The following is a 21,652-nucleotide window of genomic DNA, read 5'->3' as shown; positions in this document are numbered from 1 at the left end:
CTTCTCATTTTCTTTTCTTTGTTAATCTAACTAGTGATATAGCAATCTTGTTTATTTTTTTGAAAAAAACCTCTTGGTTTCATGAATCTTTTGTATGGATTTTTGTATCTCAACTTCATTAAGTTCTTCTCTAATTATAGTTATTTCTTTTCTTCTTGCTTTATGACCAAGCATGTGGTCAATCTTAGACTATATTCTGTGTGCAGATGAGAAGAATGTATATTCTAAGTTGTTGGATTGAGTGTTCTGTAGATGCGTATTAGGTCCAATTGGTCAAGTGTTGAGTTTAAGTCCAGAGTTTTTTTGTTAGTTTTCTGCCTTGATGAGCTGTCTAATGCTGTCAGTGGGATGTTGAGGTCTCACACTATTATTGTGTGGTTGTCTAAGTCTTTTTGTAGGCCAGGAAGAACTTGTTTTATGAATCTGGGTGCTCCAATGTTGGGTGCATATATATTTCGGATAGTTAAGTCTTCCTGTTGGATTGCACTCTTTATCATTATGTGATGCTCTTCATTATCCTTCTTAATTTTTATTGGTTTAAAGTCTGTTTTATCTGATATAAGAATAGCAACTCCTGCTCTTTTTTTGTTTTCCATTTACATGGTAGATCTTTCTCCATCCTTTCACTTTGAGCCAATGGGTATAATTATATCTGAGATGGGCCTCTTGAAGACAACAGATGGTTGGTTCTTGTCTTTTTATCCAGTTTGGCACTCTAGCTTTTAAGTGGGGTGTTTAGCCCATTTACATTCAAGGTTAGTATTGATACGTGTGATTTTTGATCCTGTCATCATGATGTTAGCTGGTTGTTATGTAGACTTGATTTTGTAGTTGCTTTATAGTGCCTGCCAGCTGTGTGCTAAAGGGTATTGTTTTTTTTTTGTTTTTTTTTGTTTTTTTATTTTTGAGTCCATGTTTAACACTCCCTTAAGGACCTCTTGTAAGACTGGTCTAGTTGAAACTTATTCCCTCAGCATTTGCTTTACTGAGAAGGATTTTATTTCTCCTTCACTTATGAAACAGTATGGCAGGATGTGAAATTCTTGGTTCGAATTTATTTTCTTTATAAGGACACTGAAAATAGGCCCCCAGTCTCTTCTTGCTTGTAAGATTTCTGCTCAGAGGTCTGCTGCTAGCCTGATGGGTTTCTCTCTGTATGTGACTTGACCCTTCTCTTTAGCTGCCTTTAAGATTTTTTTCTTTTGCATTGTCCTTGGTGAATCTGATGACTGTGTGCCTTGGGGTGGTCATCTTGTATCATATCTAGCTGGGGCTCTTTGTATTTCTTGAGTTTGTATTTCAAACTCTCTAATAAGATTAGGGAAATTTTTGTGGACTACATTCTCAAATATATTTTCCAAGTTGCTTATTCTCCTTCTTTCTCAGGAGTACCAATGAGTCATAGATTTGTTCTCTTTGTAGAATCTCATATGTTTCAGAGATTTGGTTCATTTAATTTTTTTCTTTACTTTTGTCTGAGTTGATTCAAAGAAGCATTCCTCGAACTGAGATTCTTTCCTCATCTTAGTCTATTCTGCTGTTAATATTCCAATCATATTATGAAATTCTTGTAGTGAGTTTTTTAGCTCTAGGAGTTCGGTTTTCTTTTTTCTGAAAATGTTTAAAAACTTTAAAAATTTGGTTTTCTTCTTTCTTATTTCATCTTTCGGCTCTTGGATCATTTTACTGAATTTCTTGGATTGGGTTTCAACTATCTCCTGAATCTTGATGAGCTTCCTTGACATCCAGATTCTGAATTTTATGTTTGTCATTTCAGTCATTTTAGACTGTTAAAAAAAAAAACCAGTAGTGGCCAGTAGCTGCATTAATACCCAGCTGCACAGCTCTTTAGTATTTCCTAGTGTTTGCAGGTGTGTTCTGAAGTAGGGGTGAGGGAGTGGGAGAGATGGCCACTCACCAGGTCCACTCCTGGGCCTTGGGGGAGCCCCCTCCAATCACTGGCACTGTGCCTGTGTTTTTGTTGTTGTTGGGTGTTCCAGGCCATGGGGCCCCCTTGCAAAAAGACTGTAGCAGGGAGATATGCAACATCTTTTCTGGACTGGCCCTGCAAAGGAAGAAAGCCCCATTCTCACCCCAGCCCAGGAACTCATGCATCTCACCCCTCTCAATACTCTCTGAGAGTGAGGGCTCCTCCCCAGCTCAAGTGCTGGCCATAGATCTTGGCTCCATGCTCTTGAGCTGTGCACCACGGCCCTGGAGACACTGGGATATCTTGAGATTCAGGGTCAGGGTCAGGTTCCAGCTGCACTGGGGGATCCAATTTGCTTCGTGGTTGCCAGGAAACTACTCAGGTGCAGCAATGCACTCAGGCTGGGCTGCAAAGGCTGTGTTGTATAGCTGCTCCTGCAGGGCGGTGAGGCATGGGCCCCGGCAGTGACTGGCAGGCAGGAGGGCTTGCAGAGAAGATGTGCCCCAGTCCCAAAGGGAAGCCGGCCCTGCTCTCTCCTGGCTTGGAGGTCAGCTGGAGCCCATGCCTCCCAGAGAGGGACGAGGAACTCTGGGGGATGAGTGTCTATGGCCGCTCTCTGTCAGAGCTGCCCAATGCACAAAGGCACTCGGGATCCATGTCATCTGAAGGCCAGTCTCTGCCTGCTCCCTGGGGAGATCCCCCTGCCAGGTCACACATCCATGGGAGTCATGGGGTCCCCTATAGCCAGGATTCCAGAGGTCTGTGGTAAGAGTGAGCCATCCCTCAGTTCTCTTACTCATCCCTTTCCCAGTAGCTGTTTGGGGAGAGCCTTGGTGTTTGGTTACCCCGTTCAGGGTTCCCAGCTTCTTTCCTCTTCAGCCTCACCTTCGCTGTTGCCTCTCAATTCACTCTTGGCATTTTCTCTCTGGAGACATTTTTAAATTATGGTGGTTTACTCCATAATTTAGGCTCTCTCAGTGGGAGTGGCACTTCCTGGCTGTTTCTAGTTGGCCATCTTGTCTGTTTGTCCTGTTGCTTTTTTTTTTTTTTTGAGATGGAGTCTCGCTCTGTTGCCCAGGCTGGAGTGCAGTGGCGTGATCTTGGCTCACTGCAACCTCCGCCTCCCAGATTCAAGCAATTCTTGTGCCTCAGCCTCCTGAGTAGCCAGGATTACAGACACCCACCACCACACCCAGCTAATTTTTATATTTTTAGTAGAGATGGGGTTTCACAGTGTTGGCCAGGATGGTCTCAAAGTCCTGACCTCAAGTGATCCACCCACCTCGGTCTCTCAAAGTGCTAGGATTACAGGCGTGAGCCACTACAGCCAGCTGTATTCTTCATATTGGTAACTTGTGTCTTTTTTTTTCAGTCTGGCTAGAGGTTTGTCAATTCAACTGATCTTTTCAAGAACAAATCAGCTTGTGTTATAAGGGATTTTCTTTATTGTTTTTCTCCTTTTAATTTCATTGATTTCTGCTCTTATCTTTATGATTACATTTTTTCCTGCTTGCTTTTGGTTTATTTTATACTTCCATGTTTAGGTTTTGTTGTGGGAGTTTAGATTATTGATGATATTTTTCTTCTTTTCTAATTTAGTGCTATAAATTCCCTCTTAACTCTGCTTTGGCTGCATCTCACAGATTTTAAGTTGGATTTTTAATTTTCACTCTGGTCAATGTAGTTTTTAAAATTTTTATTGAGACCTGCTCTGTATCCCATGAATTGTATAGAAATGTGTTGTTTAGTTTAAAGTGTTTTGGAATTTTTCTGTTATCTTTCTGTTATTGATTTCTAGTTTGATTTCATTGTGGTCGGAGAACATATTCTGTATTATTTCAATTCTTTTGTAATTGTTGAGGTTTGTTTTATGGTCTAACATATGATCTATCTTGGTATTTGTTCTCTGGGCACTTGCAAAGAATATATAGATGCTCCTTGATTTACCATGGGGTATGTCCTGATAAACCTATCTTAAATTGAAAATATCACAAGTCAAACATGCATTTAATACACCTAACCTACCAAACATAGTAGCTTAGCTTAGCTTGGCTTCAGAATGCTCAGAACACTTATGTTAGCCTGGAGTTGGGCAAGATCATCTAAAACAAAACCTATTTTATAATCAGCTATTGAATATCTCATATAATTTATTGAACATAGTACTGAAAATGAAACAGAATGGCTGTATGAGTACTTGAAGTCTGGTTTCTACCAAATGCATATTGCTTTCACACCATCATAAAGCTGAAAAATCATAAGTCAAAACGTTTTAAGTCAGAAACTGTCTGTATATTCTGCTGTTTTGGGTGGAGTGTTTTAATTACTGTCATTTAAATCCTGTTGGTTGTTGATGCTGTTGAGGTCTCTTACATTCTTGCTGCTTTTCTATGTAGTTGTTCTATCAAATGTTTAGAGAGGGGTGTTAAGGTATCTAAATACAATTGTGGGTTATTTCATTTCTTCTTTTATTTCTATCAGTTTTTGCTTCAAATATTTTACAGCTCTGTTGTTTTATGCATACAAATTTAGGAGTGTCATGTCGTCTTGGTAAATTGACATTTTTGTCATTATGTAAGGTTTCTTTCTGTTTCTGGTAATTTTCTTTGCTCTAAAGTCTATTTGTCTGACATTAATATAGCTGCTCCTGCTTTGCTTTGATTAAAATTTGTATAATATTTCTTTTTCCATCTATTTACTTTGAATTTGCTTGTCATTAGATTTGGAGTAAATTTCTGGTAGTCAGCGTATGATTGGATAATGTTTTTCATTCACCCTGGCAATCTCTGTCTTTTCTTTGGTGTATTTAAACCATTTACATTTAATACAATTGTTGGTATTTTAGAGCTTGTCTGTTATTTAATTTTTATTTTCTGTTTATGTTCTCTGTTTTCTTTTATAAAATTTTTCCTGCTTTCCTGTGGGTTACTTGAATATTTTTGGGGATTCTATTTTAATTTTTTGTAGTGTTTTTGAATACATCTCTTCGTATAACTGTTTAAGTTGTTGCTCTTTATATTTCATTATATATACATAATTTATCCCAGTCTACCAATGTCATCATTTATCCCAGTCTAGCAATGTCATCATTTTGCCATCATTTTACATCATTTTACCAGTTTAAGTGAAGTACAAAAACCTTACTTACCATTACATCCCTTTACCCTCCCCCATTTATAATATACTTGTATAAATATTTCCTCTCCATACATCTAGAACCACATTAAGTAATGTTATATTTTTGCTTCAGTCATCAAACATAATTTAAACACTCGAAGAGAGGAGAAAAGCCTGTTGTATTTACCCATATTTTTGCTTATCATGTTCTTCTTTTCTGATGTTCCAAGTTTTCCTTCTTTTATTGTTTGCTTTCTGTTTAGAGAATTTTCTTTATCCATTATTTTAGGATAGGCATGCTGGTGACAAATGTTCTTATTTTTTTAAAAAATCAGATAATGTCTTAATTTTTCCCTTTTTGAAAGACATTTTCACTTGGTATAGAATCCTAGGTTGACACTACTTTTCTTTCAGCACTTGAAAAATCATTGTGTCATTTCCTTTCGGCTTCCATGGTTTCTAATGAGAAATCCATTGCTATACAAGTTGTGTATCCCCTATAGTTAATGTGTCACTTTTCTGTTGATGCTTTCAAGACTTTTTCTTTGTCTTTAGTTTTCAGAAGTTTGATTGTGATGAGTTTTGGCATAAATTTATTTGGGTGTCTCCTGTTTGGAATTCAAATTCCTTAGCCTGTCTTTTGTCAAATTAGGGAAGTTTTCATCCTCATTCTCTTTCTTCACTCCTTCTGGTACTCTGATGGCATAAATATTAGATCTTTCATTATAATCCAAAAGGTCCCTGAGGCTCTGGGGTTTTATTTTGTTTTGTTTTTGCTCTTTTCTTTCTGTTTTTCAAATTGGATGATGTCTATTGTTCAGTCTTTACATTTATTGATTCTCTTCTGTCTCCTTTCTATTCTGCTGTTGAGTTCATTCATTGAGTTTTTATCTTGGTGTATTAGTCTGTTCTCACACTGCTGATAAAGACATACTCAAGACTGGGAAGAAAAAGAGGTTTAATTGGACTTACACTTCCACATGGCTGGGGATGCCTCAGAATCATGGTGGGAGGCAAAAGGCACTTCTTACATGGTGGTGGCAAGAGAAAATGAGAAAGATGCAAAAGTGGAAACCCCTGATAAAACCATTAGATCTTGTGAGACATATTCACTGCCATGAGAACAGTATGGGGGAAACCGCCCCCATGATTCAAATTATTTCCCACCAGGTCCCTCCCACAACATGTGGGAATTACGGGAGTACAATTCAAGATGAGATTTCAATGGGGACACAGAGCCAAACCATATCATTCCGCCCCCTTGCCCCTCCAAATCTCATGTCCTTACATTTCAAAACCAGTCGTGCCTTCCCAACAGTCCCTCAAAGTCTTAACTCATTTCAGCATTAACCCAAAAGTCCACAGTCCTAAGTCTCATCTGAGGCAAGGCAAGTCTCTTCTGTCTATGAGCCTGTAAAATCAAAAGCAAGCTAGTTACTTCCTACATAATATGGGGCTACAGGTATTGGGTAAGTAAAGCCATTGCAAATGGGATAAATTGACCAAAACAAAGAGATTACAGGGCCCATGCAAGTCTGAAATCCAGCAGGGCAGTCACATTTTAAAGCTCCAAAATGATCTCCTTTGACTCCAGGTCTCACATCCAAGAGGTGGGTTCCCATGGTCTTGGGCAGCTCTACCCCTGTGGCTTTGCAGGATACAGCCTCCCTCCCAGCTGCTTTCACGGGCTGGCATTGAGCGTCTGCGGCTTTTCCAGGTGCACGGTGCAAGCTGTTGGTGGATCTACCATTCTGGGGTCTGGAGGACAGTGGTCCTCTTCTCACAGTTCCACTAGGCAGTTCCCCAGTAGGGACTCTGTGTGGGGGCTCTGACCCCACATTTCCCATCCACACTGCCCCAGAGGTTCTCCATGAGTGCCCCACCCCTGCAGCAAACTTCTGCCTGGGTATCCAGGCATTTCCATACATCCTCTGAAATCTAGGCGGAGGTTCCCAAACCTGAATTCTTGACTTCTGTGCACTCACAGGTTCAACACTATGTGGAAACTGCCAAGGCATGAGGCTTGCACCCTCTGAAGCCATGGCCCCACCTCTATGTTTTTCCCTTTCAGCCATGGCTGGAGTGACTGGGATTCAGGGCACCAAGTCCCTAGGCTGCACACAGCACGGGGACCCTGGGCCCTCCCCAAGAAACCATTTTCTTCTAGGCCTCCAGGCCTGTGATGGGAGGGGCTGTGTGAAGGCCTCCGACATGCCCTGGAGATATATTCCCCATTGTCTTGGGGATTAACATTCCCTACAACAATGGGGAATTAACATTCCTCAATTTACTTATGCAAATTTCTGCAGCCAGCTTGAATTTCTCCTCAGAAAATGCGTTTTTCTTTTCTATCACATTGTCATGCTGCAAATTTTCCAAACTTTTATGCTCTGTTTCCGTTTTAAAACTGAATTCCTTTAGGCTGGGCGGGGTGGCTCATACCTGTAATCCCAGCACTTTGGGAGGCTGAGGTGGGCGGATCATGAGGTCAGGTGATGGAGACCATCCTGGCTAACACGGTGAAACCCCATCTCTCCTAAAAATACAAAAAAAAAAAAAAAAAATTAGCCAGGCATGGTGGCGGGCACCTGTAGTCCCAGCTACTTGGGAGGCTGAGGCAGGAGAATGATGTGAACCCAGGAGGCAGAGCTTGCAGTGAGTGGCAATGGTGCCACTGCACTGCAGCCTGGGTGACAGCATGACTTGGTCTCAAAAAAAAAAAAAAAAAACACACACACACACAGACACACACAAAACTGAATGCCTTTAACAGTATCCAAGTCACTTCTTGAATGTTTTGTTGCTTAGAATTTTCTCCCGCCAGACACCTTAAATCATCTCTCTCAAGTTCAAAGTTCCACAAATCTCTAGGGCAGGGGCAAAATGCCCCCAGTCTCTTTGCTAAAACTAACAAAAGTCTCCTTTGCTCCAGTTCCCAACAAGCTTCTCATCTCCATCTGAGACCACCTCAGCCTGGACCTTATTGTCCATATCACTATCAGACTTTTGGTCAAAGTCATTCAACAAATCTTTAGGAAGTCCCAAACTCTCTTACATTTTCCTGTCTTCTTCTGAGCCCTCCAAACTGTTCCAACCTCTGCCTGTTACCCAGTTCCAAAGTCGCTTCCATATTTTTGGATATCTGTTCAACAGCGCCCCACTCTACTGGTTCCAATTTACTGTATTAGTCCATTTTCACACTGCTGATAAAGACATAACCAAGACTGGGAAGAAAAAGAGGTTTAATTGGACTTACACTTCCACATGGCTGGGGATGCCTCAGAAACATGGCAGGAGGTGAAAGGCACTTCTTACATGGTGGCAGCAAGAGAAAATGAGAAAGATGCAAAAGCAGAAACCCCTGATAAAACCATTAGAGCTCATGAGACTTATTCACTACCATGAGAACAGTATGGGGGAAACTGCCCCCATGATTCAAATTATTTCCCACCAGGTCCCTCCCACAACATGTGGGCATTATTGGAGTACAATTCAAGATGAGATTTCAGTAGGGACACAGAGCCAAACCATATCACTTGGTTATTGTATTTTTCAGTTCTTAAATTTTCACTTAGTTCTTTATAATTTCTATTTATTTGCTGAGGCTTTGCATTTTTTCATTTCCTTCAAGTATGTTCAAATTTTGCTAATGGAAGCATTTTTATCATGGCTGTTTTAAATACTTTATCAGATAATTCTAATATCTCTGTCATCTTAGTGTTGACAGCTATTGGTTTTCTTTTTTCACTCAGTTGGAGATTGCATTAGTCCATTCTTGCATTGCTATAAAGAAATACCTGATATTGGGTAAGTTATAAGAAAAGACGTTTAATTGGCTCATGGTTCCACAGGCTATAAAGGAGGCATGGCAGCACCTGCTTCTGGGGAGGCCTTAGGGAGCTTTAACTCACATCAGAAGCCAAAACAGGAGCAGGCATCTTATAATGCAGGTGCAGGACCAAGAGAGTGAGAGAGAAGGCACTACACACCACACTTTTAAAACAACCAGCTCTCATGATGACTCCCTCACTCACTATCATGAGAACAGCACTGAGGGGATGGTGCTAAACTATTCGAGGGATTCCTCCCTGATGATCCAATCACCTCCCAACAGGCCCCTCCTCCAACACTGGGGATTACAGTTCAACATGAGATTTGGTGGGAACACAGATCCAAACCATATCAGATATCTTCCTGGTTTGTGGTATGAGTGACTTTTAATTGAATCCTAAAAACTTTCATGTTGTATTATGAGACTTTGTATCTTATTTAAATTTTCTGTTTTACTCAAATTTCTCAAACACTAATCTGACAAGGAAAGGGATGGGAGTCTCCTTACTGTTGGTGGAGGTAGAAGTCTATATTCCCCATTCAGACTTCATTGTCACCCAAGGGATAGGGGGCCTCTTTGATACTGCTATGTATGGGTGTGGGTTCCAGCTCCACATGTAGTTTCTGTGATCAACATCGTGGGGATGGCAAGTACTTATGGATAATGATGAAAGTCCTGATTCTCTATTAATGTTCTTCTGATACCACCCCTGAGGGGAGAGGGGAGAGTACCTTATTACTGACCTTGGGAGTGGAAGTCCAGGCTATCACATGGCCTCCACAGGCATCTTGGTGGTGAGGGTGGGGGTGAGGCTGGTTACCAGCCAGCATGAATAAATGTACTGGCTCCCTGCTTGCCCTTCTCTAACACCATCCAGTGGGAGTGTTGGGACACCTCGTTACAGCCCTGTGAGGGTGGATGTCTAGCCTCTCCACTTAACCTTTGCTGATTTAGTTGGGGATTGTACCAGAGTTTTTCTGTGGTGTTTGGTTGGAATAGAAGAGTTACTGTCTAAAAGTTTTCTCTCCTGCTAGGCTGCCCCTTCCCTGGTCCTTTGGCTAGAGAGAGCAAGCTTTTGTTGAGGCTTTCTGTGTCTATAGATCTGTTGGTGTTTCTAGGCTGCCAACTTATTCTTCTCCAAGTCTGAGGTAGATGAGGCTAAAAGAATATCCAAGGAACTCGCCACAGTGTTGTTCCTCAGGTTCTAAGGTGCATAGTTGCTCTACTTTCTTCTCTCCATTTTTTCAGAGTCTTCTTATGTTTGTTTTGCATATAATGTTTAGTTGTATTTATAAATTGTAAATTGGTGATCTGTAGTTCATAGATGACCTCAGGGTGTTTTGAAAGAAAGTGGGGCAGGTTGGAGTGGAAAGGTCTACAACCCCTTATCCAAAACCCTTAGGGACAGATGTATTTTTGTGTTCAGAAATATTTCTGAAGATATTATATATGATATGATATTATAAATAAATCATTCCTGACACTTATTAAAAACAATAAGGCAGACTTTATTCAGGGGGGCTACTATAATGGGGTTTTGTAGCAGGGAAGAGAGATGGGGCTGAACTCTGAATACAACAAGGACAAGTGGAGATTTATAGCCAAGGAACAGAGTGGGCGTCAGTGGACAGAAAATTACTAAGAAGTAGGGTAATTCTTCTCTAGACTGTTTTAACAGGACTTTTGCTGAGGGCAAGCCAGGTAATAAGATAATACAGGTGGAGTGATGAGGAATTTGATCAGATATCAAGTTCTCTCCATTGGGAGAAGTGGGAAATTTTTTCTAAATTAACTTGCAGGATTCTTGCTAGAATTGGACTAAATAGGTTAAGGACACAGCTCAAGGTCAGGAACTAGTCAGAAAAAGGACTCAGAGAAGCCTGACTCAAGTGGGGTCAAAGGAGAGAGTCTTTGTCAACATGATACCACTAGCAAGTTCTGGTACAGAATCCCAAAATCAAACATCTTAGTACTTCTGCAGCAAAACATGAATATTCATACCAAGTTAAATAAAGACTAGAAATGTCATTACTTTATTTCAGATAACTTATGAAAATCTTTTCAGGGCCAGGCACAGTGGCTCAAGCCTGTAATCCCAGCACTTTGTGGGGCCCAGTTGTGCAGATCCCTTGAGCCCAGGAGTTCAAGATCGGCCTGGGCAACATGGCGAAACCCTGTCTCTACAAAACAAACAAACAAACAAAAACCAAAAATTAGCTGGGCATAATGGTGTGTGCCTGTAATTCCAGCTACTCAGAAGGCTGAGGTGGGAGGATTGCTTGAGCCCAGGAAGTGAAGGTTGCAGTCAGCCAAGATTGCATCACTGCACTACAGCCTGGGCAACAAAGCCAGATCCTGTCTCAAAAGAAAAAAGAAAAAAAAAAGAAAAAAAAATTTTTGTCTGATTTTAGAGCATCTTATGAGTTAGGAATTGTGGGTCTGTTTCACTAACTGTGTTTTAGGTGGACTACAACATCTGCAGCTTGGGAACTTGGTCTCAGCCTCTGACTTGCATTGATAGTAACTGCACAACCCTCTGCAGGCATTTGGGTTTGTGTTCTTTGTGTCCTTAACCATTTTAAACTCTTATATTGAGTTATTTTTCTAGTGACTAACTCATTGAAAAATAGTTTACTTTAAAAATCTAGTATTTAGTTTAATATAGAAGCTTCTTTGTTAACAATGCCCTCCTCTTTCCATAGATGAAGATGAGGAGAGTGAGGAATCAAGTGAAGAAGAATCTAGCTTGGAGAGTGATGAAGATGAGTCTGAATCAGAAGATGAGGTTTTTGATGATTCTATTTGCCCAACAAGTAAGTTAGATAAAACCACGTGTTCTCTGTGAAGTGTGAATATTGATTGGCAATACTGGGAAGACCCTTTTTGGTTTCTCTGTGCTCTGATAATTCAAAAAAAGGATAGTTCAAAATGTATGTTATAGAGTCTAATGAATACCTTTTTTTAAGTGTAAGGATATTTATTTATTTTTTTGAGACAGAGTTTAGCTGTGTCACCCAGGGTGGAGTACAGTGGTACGATCTCGGCTCACTGCAACCTCCACCTCCCGGGTTCAAGCTATTCTCCTGCATCAGCCTCCCGAGTAGTTGGGACTACAGGCGCATGCCATCACGCCCACCTAATTTTTTGTATTTTTTTTAGTAGAGACGGGGTTTCAGGGTTTCACCGTGTTAGCCAGGATGGTCTTGATCTCCTGACCTCATGATCCACCTGCCTCAGCCTCCCAAAGTGCTAGGATTACAGGCGTGAGCCATCGTGCCTAGCTAGGATATTTATTTCTTTATTCAATAATATTCAACTTCTACTATGTGCCAGGCACTTATCTGATGCTAAGGATACATCAAAGTATAAAACAAACTCCTTCATCCTCATGGAGCTTATAGTCTAGTGGAGAAAGACAATAAATATAAGAAGTCAATTAAACAGAATCTTAGAAGGTGGTACATACTATGGGAAAAGAAATGAAGGGAGTGCAGGAGTGGGGATGGAGAGGCACATTGCTATTTCCAATAGTATGGTCAGGGAAAACATTAATGAATACTTTTGGGGGCTCTCTGGGTGATTTATTATCTGTTCTCTTAGGCAGCCATTTATGAGTGACAAATAATATGCAGACAATTGACAGTTGATTCAGAGTTATAAGTTATGTAGCAAGTTTAATTTTATAGAGAAATGCCAGACTGTAATTTACATATATATTTTACAGGAATCTCCCTTTTTGACAAACCTATTCAAATTTTTGTGTTGCAGATCTGTTTTGTAAGGGCATTTTGACTAGTTTCCTGGAAATGCTTGACAATTTACATTCACTGTTTTCACTGGTGAAACCAGTCTGGAGCAGCCAGACCAATTTCTTGCAGTCTCAATAGATGAACGGTTCAGTAGAGAAAAAACAAGTTTTGGGATCTGTAATTTGTTTTTCTAGACATTTCAAATAAAGTTTTAATTAAATTTTAAAAGTTTAATTTCAGATAAAGTTTTTATCTTGTTTTACTTTTGAATACAATGGTCTTTAAAAATCATAATATTTATGAGTGAAATAGAGCACACAAACCTAATGCCAACTCATTATTTTTTAGCAGGATAATTAAATGGCTTGAAGAATGACTCACAGTTAGTATGGTGATAGCACTAGGGCTAGATCTAAGCTTCCTGAATTCTATTTTAGTATTCCATTTCTACATTCTCTATTACTTGGTGGATAAAGGTGGCTCTTAGTGTGATATTGTGGAAATAATAGAGAGATAATGCACTTGAATCCCATTCTGTTATGTACTGGTTATGTCACCTCTCTGAGACTTAAGGTATTCACCTATATATGGGAATAATAGTTTCTGCCTTGCAGGGTCTATGAGCCTTGAGTGAGATAACATACATAAAGGGCTTAGCACAAAGCCTGCTTCAGAGTACTGCTCACAACATCAATACTATTATTATTTTATGGTTATTAGTAATACTAATAATTTCAACCTGGAACAATTAAGCCATAAGTGTCTTAAAAGCTGGCTAGAGTGGATCCATAAATAGACATTATTGATTCTGAATCTCCAAAGTTCACAATTTTAGTACTACCACATTCCATAACAAATGAGGCTGGTTTTTATTTTAATTCTCTTGGCAGATTGTGATGTGGCTCTTTTTGAGCTGGCCCTTCACCTTCGAGAGAAAAGGCTGGACATTGAGGAGGCTTTAGTTGAAGAAAAGAAAATTGTTGATAACCTCAAAAAGGAATATGATACATTGTCAAAAAAAGTATGGTGATCTGTTTACTTATTTATCCTCTCAAAATGCTACACATCCTCCTAGCTATAATATTGCCTTTTTATAGCAATGACAATATTAGGACTTCTCAGAAAAGAAACATTTCAAATGTTAAGGGCAGGTTTTTTTCTCCCTAAATTGTGGTGGGGGACATTGCTTTTTTGATCATTGGACTTACTTTATGTCAGTCATTGGTCTCCAGACTTTTCTGATGACTGTATAAGTAAAAAAAATGAAAATGGAGCCCCTCCCCATACAATAAATGTATATGTATTTATAAATTGTATTTATGAACTATTATGTATCTTGTACAATAGGAAACATCCACAAAAACAGAAATTAAATAGAATGAGATAAAAATAAATAGAAATAGAAACTCTGACATTTTCAATTTATACCCCAATAGATGATTTTGTTGATCATCTGGGGTGCATGCATCCCATGTTGGAGACCACCAATTTCTGCCTTAATCTGCTCACTTTCCCTCTTAGGTACTCTTGTCTAGAGCAACATCACTTAACTTCATTCATGTTCAGAAATATTTTTGATGTATTATTTCTCCTCTTGCAAACAGGAAATGATTTGGAAAACTTTCAGGTTTTCTAGGACATGGAGAATGTGCTTTAGAAATACTATAGTTAGCAGTTTCATTGCTTTAAAGCACTGAAACTTTCTTTAATTTGTTGAAGTCATGACCAAAAAAGACTCCCACCATTCTGTCAAAGACATTCCATGCTGATGGGCTGCTTTTCATGCAGAAAATAAAAGGGAGATGAGGACATGTCTTCTGGGCTCTTATTCACAAAACTTTATAACTCTGGAGTCATAGAAATGACTGAAGAGTGATGTGGATCATAACTTGGCAGAAAGAAAATAATATGCATTCCTGAGTTGCAAACTGGGATCATGCACTTAATCACAGCCCAACAAAGCAGATTCTGCTCATGCTTTACTTCCTCCCAAGATGCCTTCATTCACCATCTTTAGATGTATGTTTATTGAGTCTTGTCACCATTTCACAACACGGGGCTTTCTACAGGTGAAAATTGTGGCAACTAATCTGAATGCAGCAGAGGAGGCCCTGGAGGCTTATCAGCGAGAGAAGCAGCAGCGGCTGAATGAACTGCTAGTTGTGATTCCGCTCAAGCTCCACCAGGTGATGCGTCTGGGGAGGCTGCTCCATCCTGTCCGAGAAGAGTCATCACACCCAAGCTTTTCAGAGAAAGATTCATAGTTCACTAATGGGGAGAATCGTGGTTCTTTGTTGAGAATTCCACCTGTAGAATGACACCTACACTTGTCTTATCCACTGTCAGATTGTTATAAAAGAGTAACATCAAAACATGGATATTTCCCTGTGGCCCATTAGCACTTTGGAAATCAGTCATTTCAAGTCTAGAGAAATGAGGAGCCTATGATTTAAGAATGCAATGGCTCAGAGGGTGAAATCTTGGCTCTTATACCCATGCCACTTTTCACACCATCTTTATCTATACATGGACTAATCATGCTAAAATGACCTTTGCTTAGTCTCTACTCATTGGTGAGGGAGGTCAGGACAAAAGGAAAATATTTTCTCTTTTTTACTTTTCTTGTTCATTTCTATTTGAATTGCAACTTATATTAAATTGCAGGAATACATATCATTAAGAGAAAAGGCTTATTGTATTCTCCTTTGTCAGGTTAAGAGAAAAAGCTGTATTTTAGGAAAACAACAACAACAAGATCAGCCTTATATATGTTTTGTGTAACCTGACCCAAACTGGATGAGCTAAATGGAGCGGTTTGCCTAGTATGCCAGCCCTGAAATGTTTGTCACATCATTATGCAGTAGATAATAGGCATGATCTGTGTGGGAGGATTTGCTATCCCCACAGAGACGTGATGTGGCTTTCTGTCTGACAGCATCTTTCTGTGTTTGCCTGGCTACTGTTACTCAGTAAGGAAGACGTAGAAGCCCAAAGGCAAGGAGCTAAACAAGGGGCAAAGAAGGAAGTGCACCTCTTATGCTTTCTGTTGCCATACAAAATCTGTGTTTTTGTCTATTTTCTTTTGATTTGTTTTATGCTTGTAGATAGAGTATGTGGTATTTGGAGAAATACCTAGCGATCTTTCTGGTACTTTGGTCTTCTCTAACCATGCCTTGAGACGGCTGCAAGAACGAATCCATGAGCTCCAGGAGGAAAATTCCAAGCAGCAAAAACTTAACAAAGAATGGAGAGAGAGACGTAAACAGCTCATCCGAGAAAAGAGAGAAATGACAAAAACCATACACAGTGAGTATCTAAGCCCACAGCCTTGCTAGTAAGGTTTATTGGTAAGAAAGGGAATTATCCAGGTGACTGTCTCCAACTGTGAAAATAGTAATTGCAGACTCAGAACCACTGAGAAGGGAAACAAGAACACCACAACATCTTCCTACTCACCGTTTCTCCTGATGCCATGAAAAGCTCGCTTTCCTGTTTTAAAGGGAGAAATCTTTTGTCATAGAATCATCTTCTCTTTGTGTATGATTAAAATATAGAATAATACAATAATAACCCAAGTGCAAGACTACCCAGGTTAAGAAAGAAAACGTTGAGATACAATCGAAGCCCCATCTCTTTCTAATGCAATTCTGTGGCTCCTTCCTCGGGGTTCACCACCAGGTATGCACACATACATATGGATGTGTCCACACACAATATGGAGACCTACCTTGCATATTTTTAACTGTGCAAAATGATATTTATATCATTTTGTGGTTCACTTTATTAAACCAATTTTTAAGTTATCCATAAACTACAGATAGTTTATTCACTTTACTGCTACAAAATTCCATTTATGAATATTAAATATTTTATTTAGCCTCCTATTGATGGATATTTAGGATATTTATTATTTTTCATTATTATAGACAATGTTACAGGAAACCTTCTTGTACACATCTCCCTGTGCACATGTGTGAGAAGGTGAATCCTAGTACTGGGTCTCTGGGTTACAGAGGGATATGTACATTTTCAGCTCTCCTGGATATTGCCAGGTTGCCCCCAAAGTGGTTGAACAAATTTCTCCTCCCCTAGCAATGTGTGAGAATTGCCCAGGCTCCATATTGTCATCAACAGTTGATATTATCAGACTTTAATATTTTTGCCAGCCTGTGAGATGTTAAATTACATTTCATTGTGGTTTTTATTCACATTTTTTGATTGCTGGTGAAGTTAAATATCTTTACATACATATATTTGCCATTTATTTATTTTATTTTCTGTAACTTGCCTGTCCTATCCTTTGTCCATTTTTGATTTCTATTTTTTGCTTTTAAATTGATTTTAGGGAGTTCTTAATATATCCTTTTTGTCCATTGAATGCACTGCAAATCTCTTCTAGTTTGTAACTTGTCTTTTTTCTTTTCTTTTTCTTTTTTTTTTTTTTTTTTTGAGATGGAGTCTCACTCTATCGCCCAGGCTGGAGTCTCACCTCTATCGTGGTGGCGTGATCTTGGCTCACTGCAACCTCTGCCTCCTGGGCTCAAGCAATTCTCCTGCCTCAGCCTCCCGAGTAGCTAGGATTACAGGCGCCTGCCACCACGCCCGGCTCATTTTTGTGTTTTTTAGTAGAGATGGGGTTTCTCCATGGTGGCCAGGCTGGTCTCAAACTCCCAGGTGATCTGCCTGCCTTGGCCTCCCAAAGTGCTGGGATTACAGGCGAGAGCCACAGTGCCTGGCTATCTTTTTTTTTTTTTTTTTTTTTTTACTTTGTCTAGTGTATCTTTGGATACAGATGTTTTAAATCTTAATATAGTAATTTTTTTAATCAATCTACTTATTTATGGTTTGTGCACTATGTGTATGTGTGTGTGTCTTGCTTAAGAAATCCATTCCTATTTTGAGGTCATAAAGATATTTTTTGGTCCAACCATTCCACTACTGGGAAATGAAATTAGTAATCAGTATGCAGAAGAGACATCTGCAGTCCTATGTTCACTGCAGTATTATTCACAATTGCCAAGACACGGAATCAACCTAAGTGTCCATAAACAGATGAGTGGCTAAAGAAAATGTGGTATATGTACACAATGAAATACTATTCAGCCTTAAAAAAGAAGGAAACCCTATTATGTGCAACAACATGGATAAACTTGGAAGACAATATGTTAAGTGAAATAAGAGGCACAGAAAGAAAATACCACATGACATCACTTATATGCAGAGTATAAAAAAGTTAAACTCATAGAAACAGAATAGAATGATGGTTACCAGGGTCTGTGGTTGTGGGCTGGGGTACAGTTTGGGGAGATGTTGGTCACAGGATACAAAATTTCAGTGAGATCCAAAGAACAATTTCAAGAGATCTATTGTATACTATGATGACTATAGTTAATAACAATGTGTTATATTCTTGAAAATTGCTAAGAGTAAATTTTAAGTGTTCTCACAACATGAAAAAGAAAGTATGTGAGGCAATGCTTAAGTTAATTAGCTCAATCTATCAATCTAGCCATTCCACAATGTGTGTGTATTTCAAAACAGCATGTTGTATATGATAATATATACAATTTTTGTCCATTTAAAAAGATCATTTTCAGTAGTTTCCTAATTAGTTGTGCCCTTCACATTTGGGTTTTTAACCCACTTAAAATTGAGGTATATAGTATAAGATGTATGGTATAAAGATAATTATCTTTTAAAATACTTTAGTAATATTTGATATGTGGAACATACATATAAGCAGTGGAGTATTACAACAGAATGAACCCACCCACCCAACTTATTAACAATATTATTACCAACACTGTAACATCTATCTGTGTGCATTTTTTCCATCCCATTCTCTGTCTCCCCATATTCAGAGATAGCCACCATTCCCAATTTTATGTTTAGCATTCCCTTTCATTAAAAAAAAGTTATATTTACATGTACTTCTAAATAATATATTGCTTTAGAACTTTGTAGAAATATTACATCATATGTAGCCTTTTGAAACATACTCTCATTTAATATTATATTCATAAGAGTAGACGTAATATAGCATATAGCTGTTGTTTGTCTTCATTGTAAAATATATCATATGATTCTACTAAAATGATTCATTCTTCTGTTGACAGTGGACATTTAAATTGCTTTATGTTCTTTTGCTTTGATGATTCTGCTATGAAAATTCTTGTACATGGTATATGTTTACAAGAGTTTCTAAAAATATAAGGGTTTCATACCTAAAAGTAGAACAGCTGGGTCGTAGGGCATATAAGTGTTTAACTTTTTAAAAAATGTTAAATTATCTTCCAAAATGATTACATCAATTTACACTCCAATCAGCGGCACTTAAGAGTCCCCTTTGAGCTACATACATCATTGAAAATACATAATCTTATTAGACTTTGAATTTTTGCCAAACTGGAAAGTATAAAGTGGTAACTCATGGTCTTAATTTCATTTTCCTAACCACTAATAAGGTTAAGCACATTTTATATGTCTTTGGGCCTTTAATGTTTCCTATTCTATAAAATGTCTGTTCATGTATTTTGTTCATTTTTCTCTTGATTTGTTTGCCTTTAAAAAAATTGATATGTATGAATTTTTTTTTGATACTAATCCTTTGTTGGTTATGGGTTTTCCAAATATATTCCTTTGGTTTTTTGTTTTCACGTTTATGGAGGCTTTTTAAAGATAATTAAAAATTTGTTTTCAATTTTTATTTTTTGTGGGTACATAGTAGGTATATATATATATATATTTATAAGATATATGGGATATTCTTATACAGAGATACAATGTCTAATAATCATATCAGGGTAAATGGGATATCCTCACCTCAAGCATTTATCTTTTATGTTACAAACAATCCGATTATACTCTTTTAGTTATTTTAAAATGTACAATTAAGTTATTATTCACCATAGTATCCCTGCTGGGCTATCAAATACCAGATTTTATTTATTCTATCTAACTGTTTTTGTACCCATTAACCATTCCCACATCCCCCACCTCCACTATCCTTCCCAGACTCTAGTAACTGTCATTCTACTCTCTATCTCCATGAGTTCAGTTGTTTAAATTTTTAGCTCTCACGAATAAGGGAGAGCATGCAAAGTTTGTCTTTATGTGCCTGGCTTATTTCACTTAATGTAATGACTTCAGATCCATACATGTTCTTGCAAATGACAAGACCTCTCTCTCTTTGAGACAGGGTCTCACTCTGTCTTCCAGGCTGGAGTGCAGTAGCGCAATCATGGCTTACTGCAGCCTTGACCTCTCAGGCTCAGGTGATCCTTCTGCCTCAGCCTCCTGGGTAACTGGGACTACAGGCATACACCACCATGCCTGGGTAACTTTTTTGCTTGTTTTTGTAGAGACGGGATCTTGCTATGTTGCCCAGGATGGTCTCAAACTCCTGGGCTCAAGCAATCGCCTGTCTCAGCCTCAGAAAGCCCTAGGATTACAGGTGTGAGTCACTGTGCCTAGCTGGATCTTATTTTTTAATGGCTGAATAGTACTCCATTGTCTACATGTACCACATTTTCTTTATCCATTGTCTGTTGAGGGACAGTAAGTCGCTTCCAAATCTTGGCTATTATGAATAGTGCTGCAATAAATATGGGAGTGTAGGTATCTCTTCAATATACTGATTTCCTTTCTTTTGGGTATTTATCTAGCAGTGCGATTGCTGGATCATATGATAGCTCTGTTTTTAGTGTTTTGGGGAATCTCCAAACTGCTCTCCAAGTGGTTGCACTAATTTACATTCCCACCAACCGTGTATGAGGGTTTCGTTTTCTCTACATCCTCATCAGCATTTGTTACTGTCTGTCTTTTGGATAAAAGCCATTTTAACAGGGGTGAGATGATATCTCATTGTAGCTTTTATTTGCACTTTTCTGACGATCAGCAATGTTGAGCACCTTTTCATGTACCTGTTTGCCATTTGTATGTCTTCTTTTAAGAACTGTCTCTTCAGATCTTTTGCCCATTTAAAAATTGGATTAGTAGATATTTTTCTATAGAGTTGTTCAAGCTCCTTATATATTCTGGTTATTAACCCCTTGTCAGATGAATAATTTGCAAATATTTTCTCTCATTCTGTGAGTTATCTTTTTACTTTGTTGATTGTTTTATGGTGGCTTTTGATGAACAATAACTGTGTGATTTTAATTTATTAATCTTTTATTTTAGGGTTAATAATTTCTAAGTTTATTTTTTAAATTGCAGTAAAATGTACATATCATAACATTTATGATTTTAACCATTTGTAAGTGGACAGTTCAATGGCACTAAGTACATTCAGATGATTGTGCAACCATCACCACCATCCATCTCCAGAACACTTTTCATCTTCCCAAACTCCATATCCACTAAACAGTAACTCCCATTTTCCTCTCCCTCCGCTCCAGGAAACTGCCACTCTACTTTCTGTCTCTGTGAACTTGACTACTCGAAGTACTTCATAATGAGGAGAATAATACAGTATTTGTCTTTTTGTGACTGGCTTATTCTATTTAGGATAATGTCTTTCAGGTTTATCCGTGTTGTAGCATGTGTCAGAATTTTCTTCCTTTTTAAGGCAAATAATATTCCATTATATGTACATGCCACATTTTGTTTACACATTTATTTGTCAATGGGCAGCTGGATTGCTTCCCATTTTTTGGCTATTGTGAATAGTACTGTGATGAACATGAGTGTACAAATATCTCTTTATGTCTCTGCTTCCATTTCTTTTGGATATGTGCCCAGAATTGGGATATATGGCTGGACCATATGGCTTAGAAGTGGTGAATAACACTGCAGTTAGCTTGTTGCCTTTCTCCATCTCTAGATCCAATGGGGAAGAAGAGGAGAGCCTAGAACATGAGGGTGAGAAGGAATAAGTTCTCTCCATTCTAGGGAGAGCACAGCTCACAGCCATGGGGAAGGTGGGTAGTGAGTGTTCCAGAAGACTTTATGTCCCTACTGAGCATTAGCTGCTGGCCTCTTCAGCATAGGAGAAGGACACTGGGCTGGCTCCACAATGGAGCT

At 38.7% G+C, this 21,652-nt stretch overlaps 1 protein-coding gene and 1 long non-coding RNA gene across 7 annotated transcripts in view, besides 1 other annotated feature; both read left to right on the top strand.

Moving 5' to 3' along the window:
* The window catches only part of SPICE1-CFAP44 (SPICE1-CFAP44 readthrough (NMD candidate)), a 228,227-nt gene that overhangs the window by 195,307 nt on the left and 11,268 nt on the right, over positions 1-21,652 (top strand). For 5 of the 6 annotated variants that reach the window (NR_183046.1, NR_183050.1, NR_183049.1 and 2 more), the window contains 4 exons: positions 11,582-11,692; positions 13,519-13,649; positions 14,698-14,814; positions 15,733-15,934. This is a non-coding gene — a long non-coding RNA (SPICE1-CFAP44 readthrough (NMD candidate)). Of the gene's footprint in view, positions 1-11,581; positions 11,693-13,518; positions 13,650-14,697; positions 14,815-15,732; positions 15,935-21,452; positions 21,550-21,652 lie in introns of all 6 variants that reach the window. The other variant, NR_183045.1, reaches the window with a different exon arrangement.
* CFAP44 (cilia and flagella associated protein 44) overlaps positions 1-21,652 on the top strand; it is a 154,585-nt gene that overhangs the window by 121,665 nt on the left and 11,268 nt on the right. Inside the window, exons 29-32 of the mRNA NM_001164496.2 lie at positions 11,582-11,692; positions 13,519-13,649; positions 14,698-14,814; positions 15,733-15,934. Of these exons, the coding sequence (NP_001157968.1) occupies positions 11,582-11,692; positions 13,519-13,649; positions 14,698-14,814; positions 15,733-15,934 (561 nt within the window). The remainder of the gene's footprint in view (positions 1-11,581; positions 11,693-13,518; positions 13,650-14,697; positions 14,815-15,732; positions 15,935-21,652) is intronic.
* Positions 7,010-7,565: an enhancer, noted in NCBI's record as "NANOG-H3K27ac hESC enhancer chr3:113031132-113031687 (GRCh37/hg19 assembly coordinates)". NCBI's record gives its function as "activates a minimal SCP1, AML or CMV promoter by ChIP-STARR-seq in naive and primed H9 embryonic stem cells {active_cell/tissue: H9 hESC(naive and primed)}" and the evidence as "EXISTENCE:reporter gene assay evidence [ECO:0000049][PMID:30033119]".

This window comes from Homo sapiens, chromosome 3 (assembly GCF_000001405.40).
Source record: "Homo sapiens chromosome 3, GRCh38.p14 Primary Assembly".
NCBI lineage: Eukaryota > Metazoa > Chordata > Mammalia > Primates > Hominidae > Homo > Homo sapiens.
The sequence above is the reverse complement of the archived record's forward strand: the minus strand, read 5'-3'. Positions and strand labels throughout refer to the sequence as shown.